The sequence below is a fragment of the Homo sapiens genome, chromosome 14 (genome assembly GCF_000001405.40).
Source record: "Homo sapiens chromosome 14, GRCh38.p14 Primary Assembly".
Lineage (NCBI taxonomy): Eukaryota > Metazoa > Chordata > Mammalia > Primates > Hominidae > Homo > Homo sapiens.
The window spans coordinates 66951891-66967777 of record NC_000014.9 but is presented as its reverse complement, the minus strand read 5'-3'; the positions used below and the strand labels follow the sequence as shown (position 1 = coordinate 66967777).

Genomic DNA, 15887 nt, shown 5'->3' with positions numbered 1-15887 from the left:
ACATTTTCATTTCTTCTTAGCATGCATTGTATTTAAATTATAATTATTAAATTAATATGAAATTATAATTATTAAAGTTATTATCTACCTGTTTATTTTACATGTTGAGCATCCCTATCTGAAAATCTGAAATCTGAGACTTTTTTAGCACAAAGGAAATGTTCACTGGAGTATTTTGGATTTCTGATTAGGGATGTTCAACTGGTTTAAGTATCTGCAAATATTCCAAAATCTGAAAAAATCTGAAATCTGAAACACTTCTGGTCCCAAGCATTTGGATTAGGGATACTCAACCTGTAATATATGACTAAATTGTAAACTCCATGAAGACAAGGAGTATATTTGTCACTGATATTAAAGCACTTATAAAAGCACCTAGTTTAGATTCTCTTAAGCAGTCTTATGATTTATGAGACCTTTCTTACTAGAAAGACAAATTTCACTTCCTTCTGTCCTTTAATTTATTTTTTAAACGTTATTTCCAGATGCCTAATTGGAATAGACTAACTCCTTTTAAAATATCAACATTCAAACTAGTTTCTTTTATTATATTAATATTCTAATTCAGCATTTCAAGTGTATATTAAAAATTACACCAGAGTGATAACTTTATCTTTGAGGTATACATTCTAGTGCTGATCAAAATTATTCAAAAGAAATATAATCTTATTCCTAGAAAAAGATATAATGCTTTTATGAATTCACTGTCAATTTGAACATCTAAGTGTTAACTAAGGAAAAAATATCAAGACAAGCCACTTGCTCTCCTAAAGTTCTGCAATAAGCAAATTAATTTGACGAATATTAACATTATTATTTTTCAGAATTTTACTTTGGTGAATTTGGAAGTACCAAGTGATTTTTCAAATTTTATTTAATATCCTCTTTGTAACTAAAATATAATTACAAAGTTATAAAAATACTCAAGAACTACTATGTATAATTAAATTTAGCATAAAATATTTTCAAAAAATATTTATGATTTCAGCATATTATTAAGGAAAAGCAACTATGCCTTGAATAGTTCTGAATTCCCAACTTTTAGGTCTTAATATTCAGTGAACAAAACATCTTATAGTGAACTTAACTTTTAGTTTTAAATATTTTCTAGACTTTACAAGTGAGTTTAGCTGGTACAACTGGATTTTAATGCAGTCAAACTGTAAGTTACTTTGTTTTAATAATATAAAAGATATAGATGAGATTCTTCCATCTAATTCAGGTTTTAAGAATTCCTTGCTTTTATGCATTTGAAAATGTAGCTTACTGGCACCCAAATGGCACTGGCATACATTTAATGTCTACAATGTTCTTATAGTTTATCTTTATTGAAGATTCAGGACCTCAGTTTTTTAAATGATAAAATTAATATCAGTTTTTTTGACATATATCTAAAAATAATGATATACAACAGTAACACTGGAAACATTGCTGAGAAGATTGTAACAAGTAATGTAAAACAAACTGCACTATTCACATCAGAAACTGAGATCCCTTCTAGTCAAATTAAATTATAACATTCACAAAACTGATAGAAAAGATGGAATTGAGGAAGACAGCTATACAGGTCCTTAAATTTGATGACAGAGAAAAAACTATAATTTGAAAAATTAACTGTCAGAATCCTAAAACAAATTTAGTGTCTAACATCATGTCTTATTAAATAATAAGGAATGTTACTGTTAATCTTTTGATACCAATATTGCATCCATCACATAGAGAACTTGAAAGCACAAATGACTAACTTAATCAGGCAAGGAGCATTCCAGGAGAAAGTAGTCACAGCAGTAATAATGTCTGCTAGTTAATTTATCATGTATACAAAGATGTGAACAGCATATAAGTGTCTCATCCTTTCCTCACCCTATACAATTCAGTGACAGATTATAAAAAAAAAGACTAAGAAACTTCTACCCTCTTCCCAAAGGTTGGCATTAAAACTTTCTTTCTAATAAATTTAGATTTGTTTGCAAATATTAGGCAGCAACATTCCAAGATGAATGTTTGAAAAAATTTGGAATGATACTAGAGCAGGGAGCTACCCCAGCCCGGACAAGTTTAAAGAAATCCCTTTGGTGACACAATTTTGTTAATCTTGCTGTTTACTGGCCAAAAGTACATTTATCCTCGGCATAAACAAATAACTTTACATCTATAATGTTAAGTATACTAAAAAATAACAAATCTACAACAAAGAAACAGGAGCTACAGAAAGTAATACCCTTAGCTATGATGTAGGAGTAAGACATTTTGAATGAAATCTGTATTGTCCTACTAGTGGCCTAATATGACAATTTGTGACACAATGGGTGGGAACTATCTTACACTTTATTCATTTTTCACAGTGTAATCTTGCATGCAATCCAACCTTGACAAGCAGGAGGAAATATTGGTTAGTTTTCCCAGATTACTATAGAAGAGCAGGTGTAAGATGCGAAGGAACCATACTTACTTTTGGTGTTGGGCAGGAAGCTGTAGAGAGGCGAGATGTAGCCTGAGCACGAGGCGATTCTGAAGGAGTAGTGCTGAGGGAGGCTGTGTCTCGTGGGAGCACCTGAACACCACGAGAAATGATGGAGTCTGGAATCTGAACAAGGGGAACAACTATGGTTTAATATTCTGAAAATGTCAATAACATGTAGAATCAAGACCCCCTTTGTTTTAGCATTCTTTGCTGCTCAGCTCTGACATATTTGGTGTCACTTACTGTTAGGTATAAATGCATCCAACAACTTGAGATAGAATAGAAACTTTCAGATTTAAAGTATTTTCCCTGGCAAGTACCATTTCATAAAACTTTTTAATATGAGAGGCAGTATAGTATTGTGGTTAGGAATAAAGGATTGGTCATTCATATACTTGCTATGCCATTTAATAGTTTGAAATCTTGAGCAAGCTATTTAATTCCTATATATTTTCCATTTCCTTTTCAGATCAGTCTCCAACCATTTTCACCCTCTCTTCTCTAAGCTGACCTGTATGCACACCATCAACAAATTATTTTCTGCCCTGGCTTCCAGCTGGGTTCAGTCAGTGAAAGGCACTGGCAGAAGACTGAGTTGGGATAGGGTAAGATCTGGCATTTATTCTCCTAGCTCCCTCTCTACCAGATCATCAAAGGTTGGCTGTGTCACTCAACTCAAGATCATAGCTCATGTCAGACTGCCCTTCTGGCTTATAGCTCTTTCTCTAGATTCTAATAGCACTCCTTCCCTTTGCCCCATTAGGTAGAAGCATTAATGGTTCCCACTGTTACTAATCCCAGGCATTCCATGATGTCTTGTGGTTTTCCCTAAATTCTGTCCAAACCTTTGTACATCCTATAGGTTCTTATTGAACTCTCCTCAATTACCTATTTAAGCATGCTATCTGACGTCTGCTAGGATCCTGATGGATATACCTTTTGAATTGCTACTTCCTTTATCTGAAAATTGAGGACAACAATAGAATCTGCTTCACTGGAATACTGCAAGGGTTAAGTAAAATAATGTGTGTAGATTATTTAGCACTTTCAAGTGGTAAATATTTAATGTGTTGGTTATTATTACTGTTATTATTATACTTATCAACATAGTAAAGACTAATGTAATTATCATTATTCTAAAAATATACAAACATAAAGACTAATACTGTAGATTATTTTTAACATTATTAATATATGTTGATTATAAATTTATTACTTTAGGCCTTGCATAATTTAGTTCATGTTCTGGGCTACCAGTAACGGGCATACGTCTTCTAAGAATGGGAACATGAGGACTTTCAAATTTTGCACGCAAGACTTGAAACATATGATAAAAAGACAAGCAATTAACATTTAATCAACAAATATCACTTACTATGTGAAAAGAAGAAACAGCCAGACTTTGTGACTACAAGGTATTCCTAATATTATGCATCATTTCTGCCTCACAAAACTAATGCTATTTCTATAGAAGCTCCTTTATTTAGTTTCTATACCAACATCCTTAATTCCAAAGATATTGCCACCATTTCAGTGTTTGAAATTTTATATGGTTTATAAACAATATAGTCATAAATAGTATGAAAAGCAGTAGGAATTTTGAGAAGCAAGACGACTCCATTTGCTAACATATTTGAGTACTGAATTGTCATAAATATTTCCAAGAAATAAAGTCTAATTTTGAAGAGCTATTTGTTGCCACTTATCCAATTAAAAAGGCCATGTATTTAAAAGAAGGTCAAATACCCATTTTATACTTCATATGACATCACATCCCTCTCCTTCATAGCAATGACCATACTTACAGAAAGTATCACAACATTTATACGTGTGATACTTTGATCAATGTCTGTCTCCCATATGAGAATGCACTGTCATGATGGAACTGTTTTGCTACTATTTTATGTCCAATATCTAATGAAGCAACTGCACGAATAATGTCTCTGTGTGTGTGATATATATCTCCAGACTTATACACATAACTGCATATATACACTACATATCTCTGTGTGTATATATGCCTCAATGTAAATTAAAAATCAGGATACTCGAGAGAGAAGATAAGTTTAAATTTTGTGGCTAGGTACTTTCGGGCTACTAATCTGGAGCTATTTGATGAGGTATATGAGTCTGGAACTCAGGAAAAAGTTAGGACATATAATTTGGGAATTATCAATGGAGGTAGTAATTTGAGTCATTCAAATGTGTCAGATCACCTGCAGAGAATATGTGAAAGAACAAAAGACGATGGCTGACAATTTGAGGTAACATTCATATTAAAAGTTAACAAAAGAAAACAAACTGAAGGGAGATAAGATCTCTAAGATAAGGATGTATGGGGTAACCATACATCTGATTTTTCCTTGAACAATCTAGGATTATACCTATTATGCTGGCTTAATTATCAAACAGCACCTCTTTTCATTTTCAAAAGCATTCTGGTTTGGAAGATAAATTATTTGGTGTTCTTATCATAAGAAATTATTAGAGAAAAAAGAGGCAAATCGAGATGGGTGAGTATCAAGGCAATGGAAAAAAGAAGAAAGTTGCAAGATTAAAAAAAAGCAAATATGGGAGAGAATAGGAATAGAGAGAGAGAGCTGAAAAGAAGCCATTACATCCAGTTATTAAAGAAATTACCAGTTAAGTAAAAAGAGTAGATACAAATGGAGGAATTGAGTAGGCATGATAAAGCAAAGTAAATTGTGGGTAAAAGACACAGATATTTATTACTACTATTTTTTTGGTGCTTGCAGGAGAGGCCTTATTGATGAGAATAAGGGGAAGTAAAAGTGATAAAGATGACTTTAGGAGAGTGGTAAAATTCTCAAAAAATGCATTGATGAATGAAAATGATGGGTAAGGCAAAAGAATTTTCAATTACCATTGTGGATCCAGTTAATATCAGTAAACATAAATTTACAATTTCATTACATAGTCTAGAACAAATCTTTGCCCCAATCTTAAAAAAAAAAACAAAAACTGCCTATGCTGGAGATACAGACTTAGAAATTATTGCAGATATACAGTTGTTGAAGTTACAGAAATAAATGAGATTCTAAAGATGAAGAACATAGAAGAATATGTCAACACAGATACTAGAAAAAGGGTGAAGAATTAGATTATGAAGAACAGGATGGTAGTAATTAGTTACCTGAAAGAAAATTTCATTATTTGATGAAGACAGAACCTGATTACAAGGGGTCAAGAAAAAAACTGGAGGTAAGGAAAAGGAGTCAGTGAATATAGATTACTCTGTTGATAGACAACTGCATTGTTTTCATTTTGAGGACATTATGAAAAATGCCACTGTGAACCCATGGGTGTTATGATACCCATGTGAGTAAATTTCTGGGAGATATGTGTATATATATATATATATATATATATATATATATATATATATATATATACACATTCAGGGATAGAATGGTTGGTTATAGGGTATGAATACCTTCTTTAAAAAATTTCTAAGTTGGTTAAGCCAATCTATACATCTGTCCACAAAGAATAGTAACAGTTTCTCTTATTCTACAACTCAGTTCCACCCAGCATTGTTGGTATTATTCATTTAAAAAAATTTGGTTGGTGTGTAACAATATTGCATTATGGTTTTATTTTCCCTTTCTCTGATTCTTAGTGAGAGTGAGCACTTTTTCATACATTCCTCAGTCATTTAGATTTTTTCTCGTGAAGTCCCCGTTCAAATCCTTGCCCATTTTTTCCCTTATTTGGTTGTTCTTTTCTTATTAAATTGTTAGATTTTAGTATTTATTCTGGATAACTAGTCTTTTAGCAGTTGTATCTAGTGTGAATATCTATTCCTACTCTGTAGCTTGTCTTTTACCTTACTTTATCATGTCTATTGATGAACGAAATCTTTTAATTTTAATGTTGCTAAATATATCAATATTTTCCTTTATGGTTAGTGGTTTTTGTGTCTTAAAAGGAATCCTTCCTGGGTGACATCAGTGAAAACAGCAGAGTAGAGAAATCCAAAATTCCATCACTCTACTAAAGCAGAAAATAAATTGGCAAAAACAGGCAGAATAAACTTTACCAGAACTCTGAAAATGAATAAAATGTTTACAACCAGGTAAATGGGTAATCAAGAAAAATAGACAAAAAAGGTGGCCTTGAAGACAACAGTCCACATTTCCAATACAGGTCTGTAGTACCAGAAGGAAAACAAACCTTATTCTGAAAGAATTGTGGTTTTTTTGTGTTGAAATATCTTATGGCTTATTGAAGGACACACTCAAAGGGCCTGCCTTTATTTCACTTAACTCAGAATATTCCCAGGGTTGAGGCAGCTATTCATTGGGTAATGTTTGTTCAAATATTTAAAGGCAAATGTATTAGCCACTGTCATCTGGGCATGGAAAAACAGGACAAACAATAGATAAAGTGAAAAACCTGGGAGTGAGGGTTATGGAATGAGGTACTTTAAGGCATAAGGACTCTGAAAAGCTCCCATGTATCCTTTGGACTCTAAAAGGTCAGGTTTATGCCCAGGGCTGGGCACACCCTCAGAAAAGACCTGAGAAGGTTCTATTCTCTCACTTGTGGATAAATTTGAGACTCTATACCAGCAGGAAGTGAAAACTAATGAAGAGCTGTAAATTGCCTGGCTGAGTGTTGAAGTGTGACCTAACATATACAAAGAGCTCATCTGCAAAAACTGGGAGATTTTCTCTGATTTGTTTGTTTTGTTTTTATTATTAATTTTTTGGTTCTAGGTATTTAAGGAAATACCTGTCAAATCACTAGCTGACCACTAAGCAAACAACAGAAACATCAGAGGTTATGCACAACAAAGAAATACAAGCTTGAAAAAAGTATTTCAAAAAATGAATAACAAACAAATAACTACTACTGCTGAAAAAGCAGCAACAAAAAGCCCCAGGGAGAGGGGAGAATCTAATTTCCAGAGTTGCCACTTATAATATTTAAATGTCAAGTTTTCAACAAAAAATTATGAAGCATGCAAAGAAATAAGAAAGTATAACCTGTACACAGGGAAAAAAAAAAAGAAAAGAAAAAAGAAATGAACGGAAACTGTCTCTGAGAAAGCTCAGACACTGAGCTGACTAGACAAAGATTTTAAATTAATTATTTTAATAAAGTTTAGCTGAAAGAGCTAAAGGAAACTATAAACAAAGAACTAAAGGCAAGAACAAGAATGATGCCTCACCAACTGGGAATCTCAATAAAAAGACAAATATCATAAAAAGAAACCAAATACAAATTCTAACACCGAAAATTACAACGGAAATGAAAAATTCACTAGTGGGACTCAACAGCAGATGTGAGCTGAAAATAAGGTGATTAACATTATCTAGTCTGAGGATCAGAAAGAAAAAAAATAAAGGAAAATAACAACATGGCTTAAATAAAGGAAAATAACAACATGGCTTAAGCAACCTGTGGAATACCATCAAACACACTGAGATATGATTAATGGTGGTCCCAGAAGGAGAGGAGAGAAAGAAGCAAAGAGATTATTTGAGGAAACAATGCCTAAAAACTTCCCAAATTTGATGAAAGACATGAATGCACACAAGAAGTTCAACAATCCCAAGCAGGATAAACTAAAAAAGACTGACACGAAGATACATTATAATCAAATTGTTGAAAGTGACAAAGATGAAGAGAGAATTCTGATCCTCAATAAGATTTACAGCTGATTTTCAAAAGAAACCATGACAGTCAGAAAGCAGTGGAATGATATGGTCAAAATGTTGAAAGATGAAAAATCTGTCAACCAATAATTCTATATCTGATAAAACTAAACTTCAAAAACGAAGAAAAATTACAATATTCCCAGATAAACAAAAACTGAGTGAGTTCATTGCTCATAAATCTGCCCTACAAAAAAATTCTAAAGGGAGGTCTTCAGGCTGAAATAAAAAGAAACTAGATAGTAATTGTGACTGACATGAAGAAATACAGAACTCTACATAGGTAAACACAAAGGTCAGTATCTCACGTATATTTTTGTTTGTGAATCCTCTGACATGAAGAAATACAGAACTCTACATAGGTAAACACAAAGGTCAGTCGTATCTCACGTATATTTTTGTTTGTGAATCCTCTTTTCTGCCCCATATAATTAAAAAAACTACATAAAGCAATGATTATAGATCTATGTTGACAGGCATACAATATATTGATAGGTAATTTATGAAAATAATAACGTAAGTAGTGGACAAGGTATGAAGTTGTTGTATAATATTGAAACTAAGTTGGTATTAATTCAAACTACATTGTTATGAGCTAAGATGTTAATTGTAATTCCCAGGGAAACCACTAACACAATAACTAAATAATAGTTAGTAAAAGTAGCAAGGAGAATCAAAATGGTACACCAGAAAATATCTATACAGAAAAAAGGAAGTAATAGAGGAGATAAAAAACAAAAATGATATTATATAAAAATAGCAAAATGGAAGAAACCCTTCTTTATAGTAATTGCATTAAATGTACATAAACTATCCAATTCAAAGATGGAAACTGGCAGAATGAATTAAAAATACTATAATCCAACTAGAATCATGCATTGCATAATGGCATTTTGATAGACAACAGATGACACATACAACAGTGGTCCCATAATATTATAATACTATATTTTTCTGGTACCTTTTCTATGTTTAGATATGTTTCAAAACACAAATACTTACCATTATGTTACAGTTGCTTACAGTATTCATTACAGTAACATGCTGTACAGGTTTGCAGCCTAGGACTAGGAACAACAGGCTATACCATTTGGCTTAGGTGTGTAGTTGGTTATACCATCTAGGTTTGTGTAATTATACTCACTCTGTGACATTTGCATAAAAACAAAATCACTGAACAATGCATTTCTCAGAACATATCTCTGTTGTTAAGTGGAGTATGATTGTCTATGCTATCTACAAGAGATTCAAATTAGATCCAAAGACGCAAATAAATTGAAGGTGAAGGAATGGAAAAAGATATTCTATGGGAGCTGTAGCCAAAAGACAGCTAGAGAAGCTACAGTAATATCAGACAAAATCAACTTTGAAGCCAAAACTGTTATAAGAGACAAAAAAGACATTATATAATGATAAAAAGGTCAGTTAATCAAGAAGACATAACAATTATTAAAAAAATACATAAAGCAAAAACTGATAATAATGAAGAGAGAAAAACTTCAAAAATAAGAGTTGGAGACTGCAATATTCCACTTTTAATAATAGTTAGAATAACTAGTTAGATCAACAAGTACAATAGAACAGCGGTCCTCAATGTTTTGGGCACCAAGGAGTGTTTTTATGGAAGACAATTTTTCTACGGACTGGGGGTTGGTGGGGATGGTTTGGATAAAACTGTTCCACCTCAGATCATCAGGGATTAGTTAAATTCTCATAAGGAGCACACAACTTAGATCCCTTGCATTCATGCTCCTATGAGAATCTAATGTTGCCACTGATCTGAGAGGAGGTAGAGCTCAGCAGTAATGCTTGCTTGCCCGCTGCTGCTCACCTCCCACTGTGCGGACCGCTTCCTAACAGGTCATGGACTGGTATCAGTCCTTGGCCTGGGGCTTGGGGACCCCTTCAATAGAAGACCTGAACAACACTATAAACCAACTAGACCTAGCAGCCATATAGGAACACTGTATCTGATACCAGCAGAATACACATTTTTCTGAAGTGAACATGAGGATATACCATATATATTAGGCCACAAAATAGGTCTCACAAAATTTAAAAAGATTGAAACCTTACAGTGTATTTTTTCTGACCATAATGGAAGGAAATTAAAAATCAGTAACAGAAAGAAATTTGGGACCAGGTGCGGTGGCTCATGCCTGTAATCCCAACAATTTGGGAGGCCGAGGTGGGTGGATCACCTGAGGTCAGCTGCTCAAGACCAGCCTGGTCAACACGGCAAAACCCCATCTCTACTAAAAATACAAAAATTAACTGGGTGTGGTGACACACGCCTGTAATCCCAGCTACCTGGGAGGCTGAGGTAGGAGAATTGCTTGAACTCAGGAGGTGGAGGTTTCAGTGAGCCGAGATTGTGCCACTGCACTTCAGCCTAGGAGACAGAGCGAGACCCCATCTCAAAAAAAAAAAAAAAAAAAAAAAAAAGAAAGAAAGAAATTTGAGAAATTTACAAGTATGTGGAAATTAAACACTTTTTTTTTCTTTTTTTTTTATTATTATTATACTTTAAGTTTTAGGGTACATGTGCACATTGTGCAGGTTAGTTACATATGTATACATGTGCCATGCTGGTGCGCTGCACCCTCTATCTCGTCATCTAGCATTAGGTATATCTCCCAGTGCTATCCCTCCCCCCTCCCCCCACCCCACAACAGTCCCCAGAGTGTGATATTCCCCTTCCTGTGTCCATGTGATCTCATTGTTCAATTCCCACCTATGAGTGAGAATATGCGGTGTTTGGTTTTTTGTTCTTGCGATAGTTTACTGAGAATGATGATTTCCAATTTCATCCATATCCCTACAAAGGACATGAACTCATCATTTTTTATGGCTGCATAGTATTCCATGGTGTATATGTGCCACATTTTCTAAAAAACAAACAACCCCATCAAAAAGTGGGCAAAGGTCATGAACAGACACTTCTCAAAAGAAGACATTTATGCAGCCAAAAAACACATGAAAAAATGCTCATCATCACTGGCCATCAGAGAAATGCAAATCAAAACCACAATGAGATACCATCTCACACCAGTTAGAATGGCGATCATTAAAAAGTCAGGAAACAACAGGTGCTGGAGAGGATGTGGAGAAATAGGAACACTTTTACACTGTTGGTGGGACTGTAAACTAGTTCAACCATTGTGGAAGTCAGTGTGGCGATTCCTCAGGGATCTAGAACTGGAAATACCATTTGACCCAGCCATCCCATTACTGGGTGTATACCCAAAGGACTATAAATCATGCTGCTATAAACACATTTTTAAATAACCAATGGTGAAAGAGAAAATCATAAAGGAAATAAGAAAATAATTTGAGACAAATAAAAATGAAAACATAACATATGAAAATTCAAGTGATGCAGAGAAACAGTGTTCAGAGGGAAACTTATAGCTGTAAACATCTACTTTTAAAAAGAAGAAAGATTTCATATCAATACACTAATCTTCCACCCTAAGAAACTATAAAATAAAGTATAAACTAAACCCAAAGCAAACAAAAGAAAATAATAAGAATTATAGTGGAGATAAATGAAATAGAGAACACAAAAACATTGAAAGAATCAACAAAATCAAAGTTGGTCCTTTAAAAGTATCAACAAAATTACTGTGGCACTATTCACAATAGCAAAGACTTGGAACCAACCCAAATGTCCATCAATGATAGACTGGATTAAGAAAATGTGGCACATATACACCATGGAATACTATGCAGCCATAAAAAAAGGATGAGTTCATGTCCTTTGTAGGGACATGGATGAAGATGGAAACCATCATTCTCAGCAAACTATTGCAGGGACAAAAATCCAAACACCGCATGTTCTCACTCATAGGTGGGAACTGAACAATGAGAACACTTGGACACAGGAAGGGGAACATCACATACCATGGCCTGTCGTGGGGTGGGAGGAGGGGGGAGGGATAGCATTAGGAGATATATATACCTAATGTAAATGACGAGTTAATGGGTGCAGCACACCAACATGGCACATGTATACATATGTAACAAACCTGCATGTTGTGCACATGTACCCTAGAACTTAAAGTATAATAAAAAAATAAAAGTAATAACAAAACGAACAAATCTTTAAGTAGGCTGACAAAAAGAGAAAAAGATTCAAATTACTAAAATCAGGAATGAAAGTAGGAACATTGCTGTTGAGCTTACCGAAATGAAATGACTACCAGATGATTATTTCATAATAATTAAATACTAGGAACAACTGTATGCCAACAAGTTGCATGACCTAGATAAAACAGATAAATATTTAGAAACACAGACACTACCAAAACCAACTCAAGAAGAAATAGAAAATCTGAATAGAACCACTAAAAAGGTTGAATCAGTACATAAAAATACTTTCAACAAGGAAAAGCCCAGGACCAGATGGCCTCACTAGGGAATTCTATTAAATGTTTATAGAAGAATTAACAAAAATTATTTACCAACTCTTCTACAAAATATGAGGAGGGAACATTTCCTAGCTCATTTTAAGTGGCCAGTATTACCCTGACACTAAAGACAATGACATCATAAGAACAAAAAAACTACAGGCTAATATCCTTTATAAATATAGATGCAAGTATCCTTAACAAAATACTAGGAAACAACAAATATTATACTAAAACAATTATACATCAAGACCAAATGAGATTTATTCCAAAAATGTAAGAGTGGCTCACCATAAGATAAGAAGTCAGTGAAATACACCATGTTAACAGAATGAAGGGGAAAAAAACTTCACAAATGATCATCTCCGTTAATGTAGAACAAACATTTGATGCAATATGCTTTCAGGATAAAACACTTGGAAAACTAGGAATATAAGGCAACTTCCTGAATTTGATAGAGGCATCTAGACAAAACCCACAGCTAACATCCTCCTTAATAATGAGACTGAAAACTTCCCCTAAATTCAGGAAAAAGGATGTCTACTCAGGCCAATTCTACTTAACATTGTACTCAAAGTTCTAGCCAGGGAAATTCGGCAAGAAATAGAAATAAAAGGCTTCAAATTGGAAAGGACGTAGAACTATATTCACAGATGACATGGTTTTATATATATACATATTCCTGAAACATCCACAAAAAGAACAAGTAGAGCTAATAAACAAATTTAGCGAAGTTGTAGAATACATGAAGAACACACAAAAATCAGTTGTATTTCTATATACCAATACTGAAATGTTCAAAAATAAAATTAAGAAAACAAGTCCATTTACAATAGCATCAAAGAGAATAAAATATGCAGAGTAAATTTAACCAAGAAATTATAAAACCTGTATATCAAAAATTACAAAACATTGCTGAAAGAAATTAAAGGCAAATAAATAGAAAGACATATGTGTTAATGGAATGCAATACTTAATATTGTTAAGATGGTAATACTGCCCAAAGCTATCTACAGATTCAATGCAATCACTGTCAAATCCCACTGGTGTGTTTTGCAGAAACAGAAAAACCTATCCTGAAATTCATATGGAATCTCAAGGAACCTAATAGCTAAAACAATCTTGAAAAAGACAAAGAAAGTTAGAGGATTCATAATTCCTGCTTTCTTCCTTTTTTTTTTTTTTTTTGAGACCGAGTTTTGCTCTTGTTGCCCAGGCTCGCGTGCAATCGCACCGTCTTGGCTCACTGCAACCTCCGCCTCCTGGGTTCAAGTGATTCTCCTGTCTCAGCCTCCCAAGTAGCTGGGATTACAGGCACCCACCACTATGCCCAGCTAATTTTTTTGTATTTTTAGTAGGGACGGGGTTTCACCATTTTGGCCAGAGTGGTCTCAAACGCCTGACCTCAAGTGATCTGCCCACCTCGGCCTCCCAAAATACTGGGATTACAGGTGTGAGCCACCGTGTCAGGCTAATTCCTGCTTTCTAAACTTACTTCAAAGCTATGTAATCAAAACAGTGTGGTACTGGGATAAGGCAAACATAGGTTAATGGAATAGAATTGAGGGTCCAGAAATAAGCACTCCTAACTTTATACTTAATTGATTTGAGACAAGAGTGCCAAGGCAATTAACTGGAAAGGACATTCTTTCAATAAATTATGCTAGAACAACTGCATATCCATATGCAAAAGAATGAAGTTGAAGCCTTGCCTTACACCATACACAAAAATTAAGTCAAAATGGATCAAATACCTAATTGTATTATAAGAGCTCAACTATCAAATTCTAAGAAGAAAACATAAAGGTAAATCTTCACGACTTTGGTGATGGATTTTTAGATATGACACCAAAAGTACAAGCAACAACAGAAAAATTAGATTAACTGGACTTCATTAAACTTAAAAACTTTTGTGCAAAGGACATTATCAAGACAGTGAAAAGACAAAATACAGAAAGGGAGGAAATATTTGCAAATCATATCTCTGATAGAGTCCAGCATCCAGATAATATGTAAAGAACTCTAACAACTGAATAATAAAAAGACCAACAACCCGCTTGAAAATGGGCAAAAGGTGTGAATAAACATTTTTCCAAAGAAGCTACACAAATCATCAACAAGTATATGAAGAGATGTTCAGCATCCTTAGTCATTAGGGAAATGCAAATCAAAACCACAATGAGATGCCATTTCACACCCATTCAGATGATAAGAATTAAGAAAAAAAGAAGGCCCGGTGCAGTGGCTCACACCTGTAATCCCAGCACTTTAGGGGGCCGAGGCTGGAAGATCATGAGGTCAGGAGTTTGAGACCGGCCTGGCAAACATAGTGAAACCCCTTCTCTACTAAAAATACAAAAAATTAGTCAGGCGTGGTGCCGGGCACCTGTAATCCTAGCTACTTGAGAGGCTGAGGCAGGAGAATCACTTGAACCCGGGAGGCTGAGGTTGCAGTGAGCCGAGATTGGGCCACTGCACACCAGCCTGGGCGATAGTGCGAGACTCTGTCTCAAAAGCAAAAAAGAAGAAAAAAAGCAAATGCTGGCAGGGATATAGAGAAACTGGAACCCTCATACATTGCTGTTGGGTATGTAAAATGATGCAGCTCTATGGATAATAGTTTGGCACTTCCTTAAAAGTTAACATAGAATTATCATATTACAACAAATTCCACTCCTAGGTGTATATTCAAGAGAACTGAAAACAGGTGTTCAAATAAAAACATACATGAATGTGCATAACACCATTATTTTAATAATCAAAAAGTACACACAACCCAAATGACCATCAGCTAATAAATGGATAAACTAAATGCAGTATACCTTACAATGGAATATTGTGCAGCCATAAAAAGGAGTACTGATACATGCTACAACATGGATAACCTTGAAAATGTTGTTTATTTAGTGATAGAAGCTAGACATAAAGAGTTACATATTGTATGATTGCATTTATATGTTATGTCCAAAATAAGTAAACCTACAGAGACAGCCAATTAATGGTTGTCAGGGGCTGGGGGCAGAGGGAATGGAGAATAGACTGTTTAATGAGTAAGGTGTTTTTTTGGGAGCGGTGGTGATAAAATTTTCTGGAATTGGATAAAATAGTTGTACAACACTGTGAATGTAGTAAAAGTCACTGAATCACACACTTTAAAATGATTAGAATGGTGAATTTTATGTTATGTGAATTTTACTTCAATTCAATTAAAAAAGAAATCCTTTCTTAATCCAGCATAATAAAAACATTGTTCTGTAAAAATCTATAAAAGCTTTATAGTTTCCTCCTTCCTGTTTGGATCTCTAATACACCTGGAGTTGATTTTTGTATACT

The 15887-nt window shown here is 34.2% G+C and overlaps 1 protein-coding gene across 20 annotated transcripts in view; it reads right to left on the bottom strand.

The window, feature by feature from the left end:
- Positions 1–15887, bottom strand: part of GPHN (gephyrin) — a 1227209-nt gene that overhangs the window by 767578 nt on the left and 443744 nt on the right. For all 20 annotated transcript variants that reach the window (XM_047430879.1, XM_011536340.4, XM_017020913.3 and 17 more), the window contains one exon: positions 2453–2587. In XM_047430879.1, coding sequence (XP_047286835.1) covers positions 2453–2587 — 135 coding nt within the window. The remainder of the gene's footprint in view (positions 1–2452; positions 2588–15887) is intronic.